This window comes from Homo sapiens, chromosome 2 (genome assembly GCF_000001405.40).
Source record: "Homo sapiens chromosome 2, GRCh38.p14 Primary Assembly".
In the NCBI taxonomy this organism is placed as follows: domain Eukaryota; kingdom Metazoa; phylum Chordata; class Mammalia; order Primates; family Hominidae; genus Homo; species Homo sapiens.
In genome coordinates, this window is record NC_000002.12 from 132,603,113 (window position 1) to 132,618,742 (window position 15,630).

Consider the following 15,630-nt stretch of genomic DNA (forward strand, 5'->3'; position numbering starts at 1 on the left):
AGCCAAGATATAGAATCAACCAAAATTTTTATAAAAAGATGAATGGATAAGGAAAATGTGATGTATATATGCAATGGAATACTATTTAGCTACAAAAAAATAAAATTCTCTCATTCACTTTAACATGAATGGAACTGGAAGAAGTTAAGTGAAATATCGGGCACAGAAAACCAAGTACCACATGTTCTCACTCATGTGGGAGATAAAAAAAATTGACATCATAGAAGTAGAGAATGGAATTGTGGTGATCAAGAGTCTGATAAGGGGAGGAGAGGATCTGGAGAAGTTGGCTAATGGATACAAAATTACAGCTAGAGAGGAGGTATGAGTTCTAGTGTTCTATAGCAGTGTAGGATGACTATAGTTAATGATATATCGTATGTTTTCAACAAGCTGGAAGAGTGGATTTGGAAAGTTCCCTACACAAAGAAATGAGAAATGTTTGAGGTGATAAGCATGCTAATTTCCCTGATTTGATCATTACATACTATATACATGTACTGAACTATCACTCTGTATCTCATAAATATGTACAATTATTACATGTCAACTAAAAAGAGGAGAAAAGGTGATCACAAAGGGTGTACATTTGTGGGCGTGCGTGTGCGAAATGGGTTACTAAAATCCACTGAAGTCAGGAGCTATTCACCAAAAGCTGAAAATGTCAACATTCTTTTTAAGAAACCATTTTCATGCCTCCAGCCTTTGAAGGACTCAAGGCCACTGACTTATGCTAAGGACAGAAAAGACACTGTGTTATTTAGGCCTGATTTTTAAACAATGCATTATAGTGATGGCAGAGTGCAGGGTGTGGGGAGTGGGAGGGACAGGAAAATGTATGTGCACATTTGTGGATGTGAACATGTGTGTGTTCATGTGTGTTTGTGCTGACTGTGGAGGTTTGCATAAATATACTTCACAACCCAACCAAGGACTCCTACCTCCAAGATCCTTTTCCTTAACCGAGACATGCTTGCCCTACTGTGAGTCCCAGGTTGTTCCAAGCATGTGTGAGATAACCTATCCCACATGAGAAGGTCAGGTCTGGCTCTCAGTTCTGTACACCACTTCACAAGGTCACTAGTCTTGTCATTTTCTTAACTTTCTCCTTCTGTCTTCCCTCAGCAGGCAACTCATATCTGGGCACATGATAGATGTCTATCCCCTTGCCAGAATGATTTAAAAAAAAAGAAAGGCAAGTTCTTTGTTTAAACTACCGAAGCTCTGAGAACTGCCTATCAGAAGCCATGGCTGTGGAGGGTATTCATTATCACCAAAGAAATCTTTGAGTTCTGAGCTATAAGGGCATAAAAGACACTGGCCTTGGCATCACACAAGCCAACAGACCTGGGGAGAGAATACAACCTCTACACAGAAGGATCCAATTAAACACAGCATACAGTCCCATGCTGGGTACTGCAGACAAAAAGACGGTTATGACTTGTCTCTTGAGAGGTCTGCTATCTGATGGCAGAGACAGACTTTTAAACAACTAACCATAAAGCAGAAGGATAAGTGCTGCTTTTATAGAAGGTTATATATAAAGTCTTATGAACATATAAAAAGGAGGCCAAGTCATTCTATCTGCTCTGCTTAAGGCATATATCTCAGAGAAAGGGACATTTGAATTAGACTTTGCAGACAAATAGGAGTTTGCTAGGTGAGAAGCAGCAGGAGAGAGTTTTAGGCAGAGAGAACTGAAAGAAGTAGAAACATGAAAAATGCATGGTGCTTGGAAAGTAAGGAGCAGCTTAATGTGGCTGAAGCTGAGGATACGTGGATGGCTGGATATAGAAGGTAAGAAATGAAACTACATAACAATAACAATGAACACTTACTGAGTACTTACCACATGTCAGATATCATACAAAGTGCTTTACATATTCATTTACTCTTTATAAGATACATGTGATATAGGTACTGTTTGCCTTATTTTACTGTTGGAGAAATTGAGGTACAGTCAATGAGTGCTCAGGAAAGAAACATTCCCAAGGTCACATAAGATAAATGGTAGAGCTGGGACATGACCTCAGACAGCCCGACACCAGACCCTGTGCCTATCACCGTTAGGCTGTTGGATGTGCATATTGTAGTTCTGCAAGTTGATCATGACAAAGGTTAGGTTGATGTGGCTTCAGGGAGAAGGTGGCATCAGAAAGAGGTAAATGAAGTGGATGTGGGTAGGCTGGAGTAAGAGGAGATGAGTAGACATCCCAGGCATGGAGGAAAGCCATGATCAAAGCCGTATGTGTGGGAACGAGGATGTGGAGTGAGCCATTCATGCGGCCCATTAGTCTGCTCAGTGGCCTGGTGCTTCTTGGCAAAGCCCAAATGAACATCTCATTGATGGCCCCAGAAGCATCCCTGCTCTCCAGAAAGGTCCAGGGAACTCACGTCTGCTCACTTTCTCTCTGTTCCTTCCTGCTTCTCGCTGGCCTGGGAAGCTGCAGTCATTCATACAAGGGAAGATGGGTGCCCGCAGGAATCTCATGGGCTTATCTTTCCCTCTGTTATGCGTGGTTTTTATAATGTATCTCCTACCGAGCATTCCTGGGTGAGGACGGATGCTATTTGGCAGTGGGATTTAATGAATCCAGCAGTGCCTTGCTCCCCATTAAGAATCCCTGAGGGGTGTTCAGTCGGCTGAGCAGCAGAAGATTGCAGCTGCACACATTTAAATAAGAGAGACATCAGGGCAGGGTAGCAGAGGCCAAAGGGAGACCATTCCTTGAGTGAAATTGAATTTTGTTAGAGTTAAATTGAGATGCTGAGCTGTCGTTTTACAAACGTATTCATGGGCTTGGCTGTCACTTTCATTTAGTGGGCTTGCCATCTGAAGCTGGGGCTTGCTGGTGGAGCCATGGCCTCCCCGCCTGAGAATGCAAAGCCTCACCCTGAGAAGCAGGAGCCCAGGTGGGTGGGGGGAGAATCTGCAGAGCAGCAAGCGGGAGGAGGGTCTAGTCTGCAACCTGCTGCTTCCTCCACCAGCTTCCTCTTCCTGGACCTGGCCAAGGACCTGCAAAATCATGATTCTAATATGATGCAGAATAAGAAGTGTTCTAGTCCCACAGATCAAAGGTAAAGTTCTGGTTAAGTACAATCAACAGCCCTATCAACGTAGGTAATTTATTGAGCCTCTCTGTGCCTCAGTTTCCTCACTTGTAAGAAGGGCTTTGAAATAGAATCTTTTTAGACTTATGGAGAGAGTGAATTTTGAAATAAAACATACCAAGTGCTTAGCTCAATGTTCAGCTAGCAGCAAGTATTTATAAAAGTGAAACAGAGTTCTTTTATCCCTCTTGCAGGGTGTGCAACAGGGGTGTGGCTCACTTCTTTGGTGCCACACTGCCCAAACCCCAAGGGGGAGCATGAAGATGGGCAAGTGCAGAGGTTGTGGGTAGCCCTTCTGGGCTCCAACCCATAGCAGCATCTAGGGATAAGTATTTACAAGCCCAAGTGGGTGTGTATTACAGTGTGCTCCTTCAGCTTTGCTGTCTGCAGTTGGCTTGTGTTAGTTCAGTTAGATCCTTTGCAGTATCCTAAGGGCAGAGGGCTTTCTGTATCCCAAGTTCTTGCCCAGCGTGCCGAAAAAATTAGATCACACGAGGGCTTAGAGGGTGAGTGCAAGGTTTTATTGAGTGGTTGAAGGTGGCTCTTAGCAAGATGGATGGGGAGCTGGTAGGGGGACAGAGCGGGAAGGTGGTCTTCCCCTGTGGTCGGGCCGCTCAATGGCCAAACTAACCTCCAAGTCCCCCTGGCAGAACTCCCCCTGGAGTCCGCGTTGCCCCTAACCAAGGGAGAAGTAGGCTCCAAAAGCAGAGGACCCTGCCACTCTTTTCCAAAGGCAGTGGTTTGCCACCTTCAGGGAAGATAGTTGGGTGTTATCTCACTCTGATCTTGATATATATTTTCCCCCACTAACTCTTTAATCTGAGAAACGTATTGAAAGGCTGGGGGCGGGTAATATGGATCAGAAAGCTTCCATGGTGTAGAATGAAAAGGAAGCAGGGAGTATTCACATGAAAAGGTAATTTGGGTGTCATTTGGGATCTCAAGTATCAGCCTGCTCTGGCATATTTCAGTGAGTGACAGGAATTGCAAAATTTACAAGATATTTGGTTTTTTTAAAAGTAATTCTAGCTTGTCCTTTTCCTGTCCTTTGCTAAGTTTCTACATTTGTTCATTCCTTTACTCATTCATCCTATGTTGAATAAGCCCCTGTGTAAAATTTATTGGGTTGATCATAAAGTCAGTCTCTTATTCTTCCCTTAAGGAGTATGAAATCCAGAGTTAGAGGGAGGAGAGTAGGTGGGGTAGCTCTAGGCTTTGCAAGACAATGTCTGGGATTCTATTTTTAATAGCCTTGGGGGCCAGCCTGAGTGGGATTTGCCCTTTGAAATTGATGCTTGTCTATAATTTAGAGAACCTTGAGGGAGGTTCTCTCCTGCAGCCTAAAGTTATCTTTGACGTCTGACACCAGCAAGAGGCAAATTTTATCTGGGGGAATACACCTCTCATCCAAAGGAGATAACAGCTGTGAGAAAAACTCCCCCAGTGCTGGTCCTGTTGACTTATGTTTCAAAGGAGAACAATTTCAACATAGAACTCCACTTTCCCTCAAGCTGCAGATGCAATAAAATGGCTGTAAGCTGCAAAAACTCTTTCAATATGGCACGTATTAAACCTTTCAGAGGTAGCGCTTTGATTTTTAATTTTACGCTCTTGGCAGGCAATCAGGGTCTTTAATAGTAGGGAGGCCAGAGGGAGAATGTTTCAAAACAGTGAGGATCTTATCATAGTGTGCAATTAATGAATAATTATTAAAACCCAGAAATAGCTAGAAAAGAAGGCAAGAGGTGGCAGAGCAATTCTCTGGTTTTGGGCCTATAATGAACCCTCTGGAGAGGGGAAATATGATACTGAGTTCCATGCAATTAAATCTTCCATTTTTCTCCTACTGGAAGATCAGCAATTTCAGGGGCAAAGAAAAAAGAAAAAAATACCCAACTCTTAAAAAGTCATTTGCTGACAATGATGCATTTGATCAGTTTGATTTTCAACATTTGTTGTAATGACATCGAAAATAAAATAATACTAATGACAAGCGCAATAATAAAACACCTGCTCCTTGAAATCAATTTCTAAGAAAGCAGTATTGGGGCATGTTGGTGGCACCAGTTAGAACAGGTACATTGTTGAACAAATTCAGTCCATGAGCTGCACAATTCCCAGCTGTCATAGGGAGAACCCCCCTGCACATCTTGTGAATACACATCCCCCGGCTCCCTGTCATTTCCAGGCACAATTGTGTCAGCTCCTTGCTGTCGGGATCTCTCCTCTGAAGGTCTCAGTCCCACTGTTTCCTTTTTGACTCGGCTCTAGAAAATCTTGTCATCTGTCAAATAGCTGTTTACAGTCAAAGCCCGGCCTGCTGAGTGGCCGTGTCACAGGCTGGCAAGATGTCATGCTGGCCACTGCTAAGCAGGTACAGATGCCGCTGCTTCTTGGAACCCTGCAAACAATAAAGTAGCCTGGCAGGGCTTGGCATGTGGCAGAACAACCACAGACCCACATTGATTCAGTTCTCAGCCATTTCAGTCACCCTAGGGCCCCTGCTAGGGCTCTGAGAGCATCTGGGGTCAGCTCACCTTTAAGTAGCCATTAGCCCCCTCCGCTGCAAAGCTGGGGTGGGGTGCGGGAGCAGGGCGGGCAGAATCAATGAGCACTTGAGATGGCATTTTCCTGGCATGTGGTCGCTCATTACTGAGGGCCTCAGTGAGGATCTGGGTTTTCATGATTGATCTCTCAGCAGTGTTTCAGGAGACCTGCCAACATCACAAGGCCAAATGGGCCTGCAAAATAAAGAAATAAATAGATGGACAAACAAATAAATGGGGAGGGGGTGCTGTTGTTCAGAGAGCAGTGAGAGAGGATGTTTTCCAGTGTGTGACATTGTACAAAGGTGCCCGGGATGTTTTATTTGAAGCTCAGCTTCAGGAGGGTACACGACAGCAGATAATAGATTGTAGGTACGCGGCCATGGGCCCCTAAGAGAAATCTCAGATGTGTTGTACTCTGCCAGATGATAAGAATGGGGATGGAAAGGAAGAGGTAGGTTTCTTCTTCCTCATTGCCAGCTGTGTCCCTGGCTATTCTTGTCAGGCCAGGTGCTTTTCTTAGAGTGCTCAGAGGGACTATTTACTTAGCACTTGCTCCGTGCCAGGTATTGTGCTGTGTGTGTGCTTCATGTACTCTGGCTCACGTAAAACCTGGAGAATGGTGGTATTACCCCAATCATTAAAGATGAGAAAACGGAGAGTCAGAGAGGTGAAATCACTTATACAAAGTTGCACAGTTGGAAACCGAGGGGTGCAACTGGGGTTGAGTTGAACTCCTAAGTCAGTGTTCTTAATTACTATTCTAGATGGCTTCCTAGGCAGGGATGCAAAGGCCCCTTGCAGCCTCTCTCCAGCACAAGGAGCTTCTGATGATATATTGAATGCCAGCTGACTCTGGGCTTCTCATTGTGAGTTTAGCCATCCTTCCTCATACTGGGGCAGAATCACTGCAGTCCCCTTCTGGCTGGGGCCTTGTCACTGCTGTCTGCCAAAAGACCCTCTGCCTTTTGCTCTGCTTCTGACATGTTCAAAACAAATCTGGGTCCCAGTCTTTCCCGCTCAACCTCAAGACAAGAGGAGCAAGGGTCATACCCTTCAACCTGGTGTCAGAGGTACTTCCTTTGTGTCCTTGTTTTAGAGTGCCTCTCCATTGTCACCTCTGACTACAGCCAGCCTGACCTTCCAGCTTTGTAACTTAGCGCAAACCAAGTTTCCTAGTTCTGCAAAGCCTTCCCCAACTTCTGTCTCTGCTTGGTACCTGCCTGTTCATTTGCCAAGACTCAGTTTAGACATTCCTTACCTGGAAAGTCTTTTCTGACTTTTGCAAGACTCGGTCAGTGATTCTATCATAACTATTGCATGCATGGAATGGTCTGGTTACTTATCTGTCTCATCCACAGTTTGCTGAATGAATAGGAATACCTCACCCTTTTGGTCACAGATCCTCTATCAAGTCCACATAGAGAATCTAAATACTTACATGCTTCTGGTGGTTTGTTCTTTTGTTCAATGCTAACTGGTCCAGAATGGCCTGGGCTTCAGTGTCACAGGTGTCAAATCACCCATACTTCCTAGGCGTAGTCATCACACAAGAACATGAAGCATTAATTAAGATGACACTAGCTGCTGTAGCATGCAACTCCAAAATGTATCATGTATGATGGCTTGAGAGAAGATTATATTCCACTCATGTAACATCCAAAGTGAAATGACAGATTGGCAGGTGGCTTCCTTAAGTGATGATTCAGAAATCTAGGATCTTTTGGCTGGGCACAGTGGCTCACATCTGTAATCTTAGCACTTTGGGAAGCCGAGGTGGGTGGATCACTTGAGGTCAGGAGTTCAAGACCAGTGTGGCCAACGCGGTGAAACCCTGTTTCTACTAAAAATACAAAAATTAGCCAGGTGTGGTGGCACGTACCTGTAGTCCCAGCTACTCAGGAGGCTGAGGAAGGAGAATCACTTGAACCTGGGAGGCAGAGGTTGCAGTGAGCCAAGATTGCACCATTGCACTCCAGCCTGGGCAACAGAGCGAGACTCTGTCTCCAAAAAAAAAAAAAAAAAAAAAGAAGAAGAAATCTAGGATCTTTCCACCTTGGAGCTCTGTCATCATCAACTCATGGCTTCCAAGGCCCCTGAGCTCCTCTGAATCAGCATGCTGGAAGGGAAAAGGGCATGGAGTAATAAATAGGTGTGGGACATTTCTAGGGCTAGGGCCAGAGGAGGAGCAACAATCACTTCCACCTTCATTTCATTGGTTAGGCCACATGGCCACACTCAATCTCCTGGGAGGCTGAGAAATGTGGTCTCCCTATGGTCCAGTCAGCCATTTCTGCCACACTATCTACCTCACTGTGCACAATCTGCAGAATTTTGAAGCACCCAACTTCCCCGTGTTCTGAGTTCGGACATAGTGTTCCCTTTTTAATTCTCTGGGGGAGAACACAGTGCAGGAAAATTTGTCACTTCCAGTTTGCCTCACTGGTGGCTGCACTGTCTGACGTTTCTTTGCTTGCAAATGTAAGGGCTGAAGAAGGACTGGCTTCTAGATTTATTAGGCGTCTTTTACTTGGCTGCCAAAGATTCCTAACCACGCCAGGTGGTGAAGATTAATGGCCAAGTTGGCATGTTGAGAGTAACTTAGGTAAAGCACTCTTTCTCACTGCCGTCCTTTAGAGGTCATCTATCACCTGATTCCGTTTTTGTTTTCAAGTGACAGAGCAAGTGCAAATTTAGGCGAGAAATCAGTAAGCTCCAGAAGGCTGGGAAGATACTAAACTATTTGCATATTTCAGCTTGGTTCAATTAAGCATGTCCATTGCTTGTGGTTGTTATGACCAATTTTCTTCTAGGAAACTGCTCCAAAGGATGCTTGAAGACCTGGAGTTTGATTTGCAGAAAAAAAAAAAAAAGTGGAGCTTCATGGCTCAAAGCAACCCTTTTCCAGAAACTTTATCTGGTAATGCCACTCAACAGTGAGAACACCCACATCCTTGTTCCTTTAGCATCTGGGATGGAGATTATACAGTGTAAATTTCTTTCTTTCTTTTTTGATTGACTTGCATTTGTTCTAAAGTAATTTCCTTCTGTGGGCATCTACATGTAGTAAACATCTCATAGTTCTCTTCCTTAAATGCAGTTAGTGAAGTGTTAATGTGAGGCATTAGCCTTTATCATGCTGAATAAATTGAATGCCCTATGACTGAAACGGAGCTTCTCATCTACACCCATACTTAATATTGCAGAAAAAGCCAAGCAAACATGTGAGTTCAGCGTGCATTTATCTTTGCCCAGAAGCTCTTTATGGTTGTTTACATGTCTCTCTCCATCCATCCAGCATTGCAGTGCCCTGAACTGAGTTTTCTAAATCATCATGTTAAGTTCTAAACGCTCAGGCCAGACAATTTTTTGCTCCAAGAAGCAAGACCCAAACATCTTAATCTTTTCACCTTGCTCAGCCTTCCTTCCTTTGTAGAATCAAATTGAAATTTGCTCTCCATCTCAGGAGCTTCCCCTGGACTCATGTATCTCTTCCCTCCATGGTTTCTGCTCTTTTGACACCCCCTCAACAGCCTCCCCCTCCCCTCAGTCTTGAATAATTTGTTCTTTTGTGACATGAAAGGTGCATTTTACATTTTTTGACACTGTGGTTTTAATCAGCTCTTATTTTAATCAGTTCCTGCAAAGAACTCTTTGCTTACTTCAAAGCAAGACCACGTTCTATGCTTTTTTTCTGACAAGCTATCTTTCACACTTAGATCTGCACTCCTTCCAGAATTGACTTTTGTGTATGGTGTCAGGTTAGGCACAAATTAATGTCTGCCCTTTGGAGATTGCCATTGATCAAGCACCACATACTGAAAAGCCACTTCTTCACCTATGGTTCTAAAGTGTCACTGTGCCATAAATCAGGTGACCTTATATGTACAGATATATTTCTAGATCCTCTGTTGCTCAGTTTATTTTTGTGCTAATATCACACCATCTTCATTATTGTAACTTTATAATACGTCATGATAGCTGGTAGTATAAGTCTTTATCATCATTCTTCATCTTAAACACTATTTTGGCTGTTTGCATTTCTACATAAATTTTAGAATCGGAGTGTAAATGTCTACAAAATATGTGCTAGGATTTTCATTGATCTAAAATCTATCTAGGAGGAATTTAAATGTTTGTAACCTCGAGTTTCCTAACCATGGACATGGTATACCCCTGTTCATTTAGGCTTTAAAAATTTCTGTTATTAAGGTTTTATGCTTTTCAATGTAGAGGTCTTGGTGACATTTTAAAGATTTATTCCTAGATATCCATATTTTAAAATGCTATTATGAACTGTACCATTTTAAAATTGGCTTTGTGTTCAGGGACTTTGCTAAATTCACATTAATTTCAACAGTTTTTCCATAGATGCTTTTGGGTTTCCTGTATATGATCATGTAACGTGTGACTAATGAGGGTTTTATTTCCTCCTTTCCAATCATTTTGCTTTTTATTTCTTGTTGCACTTGCTCTGTGCTCTAGCTCTGTCGCACTCCATGTAGACAGACACTTGTGCAAGGATAAGGAACATTTATATAAAACTTAAATAACTCTATTGGGCATGATTTTTTATGTGCCTCTACATCCTCCCAGAAAACTGTCCCTTTCTCCATCCTCCTTAGGCAAAACTTATGCATCCTTCAAGTCTTAGATTAAACACCTCCTTCAGGATGATTTCCTTGGCCCTTCTGAGACTGGGTGTACTGCAGGGAGTGGGAATTCTTTGTTATCCAAGGTGATTAAGCACAGCCCTTAGGTCATTTACTTCAAATGCTTGTTTGCAACTTTGTCTCTCCTGCTGAACTGCAAGCCCTTCAGGGGCAGAAATTCTGCAATGTTCATTGCTATATCACCATCACTTAGCAGAGTGTAGGGCATATCACAAGCACATGATAAAGGTTTAGCTTATAGTTCTCCTCCTCATCCTTGTCCTGATACTTGTCCTCATCTTGTTCTTTCTCATTTACTTATGGAAGCATGGCCCTCATCAGTATCAGTGTCTATTGAAGTTTAGCACAAACTTTTCCACTAGTGTCTTTTTCACTAGGTCACAAAGTCCTCAAGGGCAAACATCTTATTCTTCATGATTGTATCCCCAGTGTTTAACACAGTGTCTACGTCTTAATAGACAGTTAACAAAAGTATGACAGAGTGATTATGTGTATAAATACATGAATGAATTGGTGGATGAGTGCTCCTTGTTATAAGAAACTGAGGTCCATAGAGAATGAGTTGGGTAGCAACTTAAGCATACTCATTCTGTAGGATTACCATATACGCCTAAAGCCAAAACTAATGCCTTAGTATAGTTTGAATTTCCCTTTGCCCAGAAGGTCCTCTTGTGAATTCTTCTAGCATCTTTCTCCATCCATCCAGAATTGCAGTGTCTTGAGGAACTTGCTTGCTTTTTTTTTTGTTTTTGTTTTGTTTTGTTTTTGTTTTTGTTTTTATTTTGACAGAGTCTTGCTCTGTCGCACAGACTGGAGTGCAGTGGCGCAATCTCGGCTCACTGCAACCTCCATCTCCCGGGTTCAAGCGATTCTCCTGCCTCGGCCTCTCAAGTAGCTGGGACTACAGGTGCATGCCACCACACCCAGCTAATTTTTGTATTTTTAGTAGAGACGTGGTTTCACCATGTTGCTCTCTTGATCTCTTGACCTCGTGATCTTGATCTCTTGACCTCGTCTTGATCTCTTGACCTTGTGATCCACATACCTCGGCCTCCCAAAGTTCTGGGATTATAGGCATGAGCCACCGCACCCAGCCAGCCAAGGAGCTTTCTTTTAAAAGTCTCTTGAGATGGAGTCTCGCCCTGTTGCCCAGGCTGGAATGCAGTGGTGCTGTCTCGGCTCACTGCAACCTCCACCTCCCAGGTTCAAGCAATTCTTTTGCCTTAGCCTCCCAAGTAGCTGAGATTACAGGCGCATGCCACCACACCAGGCTAATTTTTTTTATCTTTAGTAGAGATGGGGTTTTACCATGTAGGCCAGGCTGGTCTTGAACTCCTGACCACCTGCCTCAGCCTCCCAAAGTGCTGGGATTACAGGCATGAGCCACCATGCCCGGCCAAGGAGCTTTCTTAAATCATCATTTTAAGCTTCAAGAACTTCAGAAAACACAGAAATAATTTTCTTACTCCAATAATCAAGACCACATCATCTTATTTATTTTCAACCTTCTTTGTCTGTCTTTTCTTCCCAGAATTAAAGTTTGGTTTCCATCTGAGCAACCCTCTCTAGACCCAGGCATCTCACCCCTTCCCGGCTCTGTTCGTTTGCTGCCTCCCCCATGCCCACCCCATGTGTCTTGGTTGCTTTGCTGTTTCAAAAGTTGGGAGGTGCATTTTTAAGTTTTCAGACACCACGGATTTAATTGCAACTGCCAAGGTCTAGTCAGAGCTTGGGAAGTACCTATTTTTCATGATCTGTCATCAGGAGCTGTGATAACTCAGCCATGAGCTCACAACCCAGAGACCTGCATGGCACACTTTTGAAAACAGAATGAAGCTCTGCAGGGTGCTTCTCCAGAATCCCTCACTCCAACAGGCAATTGCCTCCTTCCTTCTTTCAGCCTCACCTGGAGGCCCACCCCCGCTTTGGTGTTAACCTTCACCTTGCGTGCCTTCCTCGCAGGCATCATTGCACAGTGCCTTCCCATCTAAAAACTTTATTTCACCCCATGCAGAAGGGCTGAGCAGCAGAGCAGCTCCCAACAGAGACTGTGCTTTATTGGAGAGCAGGCCTGGGTTGTGTTAATGCCAGCTGACTTGAGAACCACAGGGGTGTAGGCAGGGCCAATTAACAGGTGAGATCAGGGTCTCTTAAATGCCAGCTACTGCTCCAGGGGTGGTAGGTCACTAATTGTAGCTGCACTCCTGCCCTTAAATAAATACACTTCTCTAGCAAGAGGGATTAGTTGCTTGCTTACTTCTCCCTTTAGCCGTATTTATATTTAATTGAAATTCTACTTTTTAGAGGTTCACTTGCAAGTCACTGTTTTGATGTGGGCCAAGACTAGGGTTAGGCAAGCTAGGTACCTGGGATGCAAAATTTAAGGAGGCCTTTACTCTCAGGTGTTGATCCTGCACTTGCCTGACACAGGGAACAAGTGTGTCTTTAAATGTCACGCACTGCACACCTGGCTTGTCTCACCCCATTCCAGCTCTTTTTTTTTTTTTTTTTTGGACCCAGTTATTTTAAGCAAGTGATTCTTTAACACAGATTAGGCAAGTATGGTGAGAGTCACAGGAATGCAAACAGCCTCCCTCCCTCCTGCAAACCTTCCCTGTCATCTTCCTACTGAACCCTGAAATGTTTTATTAGCCTGTAACAAACCCACCCCCATGTTAGAGCTATTGTTTATTAAGAGACTTTTATATGTGGGTTCTCAGCTGGGACCACACTTGGTTATTATTTATTGTCATCTGACAAACCTGTGAGGTTGGTTGGTATCTCAGTTTTGCAGATGAGCAAACCTGGGGTTAGGGGAGGTGGTTCTTCATATAACCAGTGAGAGGCAGAGCCAGGATTCGACCCAGTCTGTCTCCAGTCTTTCTGACTCCCCAGCATCCTATATTCATTGAGCTGCCTTTATACCTAATAGGACACCTGTCACCATGCAAGGTAATGCTATTGAATTTTTCAGCGACAGATTTGAGTGTGGAGGAAGGCAAGGAGCCAGAAGCCTGAGCCTGTAGGGGCCCAGGAAAAGAATGCAGAGTGGAGATTCTAGAGGTAATGTGAAGGAAAAGTTGGAGAGGCCCTATTCTCTGACTTTACCTGTTCACAGCTGGGTTGACCTTCTGCAGAATAAAATGCTTCTCTCTCCATGTTCCATGGGTCTTCATCCATCCAGCTTTGTATGATCTCCTGTTGTAGGGTTGCTGCTTCTGTATGTAGGTCAACTCCTGATCCAGCATGAGCTCCTTGAGGGCCAAGACTGGGCTTGCCTCAGTGCTTTTGTGCAGTGTTTTAATGGAGCCATGCATAAATCCCAGATTTCTTTTACCACTTTCCCAGAGAATTCTGTTTTGCTCAAAAAACTGTTTTGAAAGAATCAAATCATAAGGAATTATATAAAGCAGAAATTGAAACACGCTTTCTTTCTCTCAATGCCCCGCTCCCGCCACGGTCCCTACTGTTGAGCTGGATGCTCCTTCCTCCAGAAGTTTCTGTACACAAACACAAATGCACCAACACAAACCCATTCATAGAGACATTTTTAAAAAATTTTTTTCCAGTAGCACAGTCAAACAGTGCACACGTTTTGTGGATTCTCTTTCTCTATTTAATAGTGCAACGTAGCCTTGGGTCTTCCAGTGCACACAGAATTGTCTCATTTGTTTAGCAGCTATGTGTAGATGTACTATAAGTGTTTAATGTCTTCTGATGATGGATACTTGGATTGGACTGATCTTTTCTGGCAGTGAACTTCCTTGTACTAAAATATTTGCACTTTTTTTTTTTTGGCTTGTATTTTTATGGCTTGGAGTCCTACAGATGGAGTTCCTGGGGCAAATAATATACACTATTGGATTTTGGAGGATATTACAGAGTTGTTTTCGAGGAGGCTGAGCAGGCTTTCTTTTTAAATTATGAATGGGAATGCCTTTCCTTTGCTTCTCTACTTGAACCTCATTAATATTGTACCAATCTTTAGAACACTTTAGTCATTGTGAAAAGTTAAAGATGAGATTTAATTGCTGTCTTGATTTACATTTCTTTCATATATTAATAACTTTATTTTTTATGTGTTTATTGCCATTAGTATTACATGTTCATTCCCTTAGTCTATTTTTCTTTGGGACTGTTTGTCTTTCTCTATTGAATTCTAAGAGCTTTTCTTATGTTGGGTAAATTAGACATTTTTTTGTCATACGTATAGGAAATGTCTTCCCTAGTTGTTTGTTCTGTGGGTTATTGTTAGTAGTAGCATCTTTTACAAAAGCCTTCCTATATTTAAATACTTGTGAAAATTCAGATTAAGGGCATAAGTTTTGAATGCAGACAGATCTGAGTTCAAACACAGGCCACACAGCTTAGTTTGCAGAAGTCCCTTAAAATATCTGAGCCTCAGTGTCCATGTGTGATACTTAGAAGTAATGAGAAGGAGATAATGGAACAGGTTAAGCATTGACCAAAATAGATGGAATTAACAGAGGCCAGCTCCAAAAGTCAGAAGTGGGCTGTGGCCTGTTGCTTCCCTGATCTCCCTTTACTCCCCTTACTGTGGCTCTTCCCTAAAACTCGTCTTGGTCTGGAGCATTGATTCCCCCTAAATATGTCCCCTCCATTTCCCACTCCAAGAAAAGCCAGATGAGAAAATTCTGTTGGGCCCCTTCCTGCTTAACAGAAGCTGGAAAAAGAAGACATTCCCTAAGTTAAGTGGAAAAAGAAGACATTCCCTAAGTTAAGTGTGTGTTCTGCCAGCCAGTCCATCCGGCCACCTGACAAAGGTCACTCCAACATTCTCCCATTTACATGGCTGGAACTTGCTGAGCCTCATCATTTCAGCCTGAGATCAATTTGCTGGATTTTCATTTCATTTTCAAGTTGTACGTTCCCTCTTTCACTCAGACTAGTAATTTCAGGGGCTATATTATAATTTTGAGTTGTTGCTTTTTTGAGACATTACAAAACATTAAACTGCATTTAGCCTTGAATTGTCACTTAAGATTATTGCAGGAAATGAGGGCTTTCTCGATCACAAATGTGACAATAGATGGAGAACACAGCTTCTATTATGACTAAATGGGGACAAAGAGTGAAGAAGAGTTAAGTACACAGCCACATCTTATGTGGGTGCCAAGGAGCCCAGGGAAACCGAGGCCACTGCTGGAAGGATGAAGGGCTGGGCTCGGTGGTGCTTTGGGAGGCCACACATGCACCAGGGATGAAGCAGAGCCCCCTTCCCACATAAGCAGGCAAATTATGAGGCTGCCTGGGTTTTCTTATCTCCCATTCCACCCAAT

The 15,630-nt window shown here is 43.3% G+C and overlaps 1 protein-coding gene across 1 annotated transcript in view, besides 1 other annotated feature; it reads left to right on the forward strand.

The window, feature by feature from the left end:
• The window catches only part of GPR39 (G protein-coupled receptor 39), a 229,778-nt gene that overhangs the window by 186,308 nt on the left and 27,840 nt on the right, over window positions 1-15,630 (forward strand). The gene's annotated exons all lie outside the window — the stretch shown is intronic.
• Window positions 2,223-2,779: an enhancer, noted in NCBI's record as "NANOG-H3K4me1 hESC enhancer chr2:133362908-133363464 (GRCh37/hg19 assembly coordinates)". NCBI's record gives its function as "activates a minimal SCP1, AML or CMV promoter by ChIP-STARR-seq in primed H9 embryonic stem cells {active_cell/tissue: H9 hESC(primed)}" and the evidence as "EXISTENCE:reporter gene assay evidence [ECO:0000049][PMID:30033119]".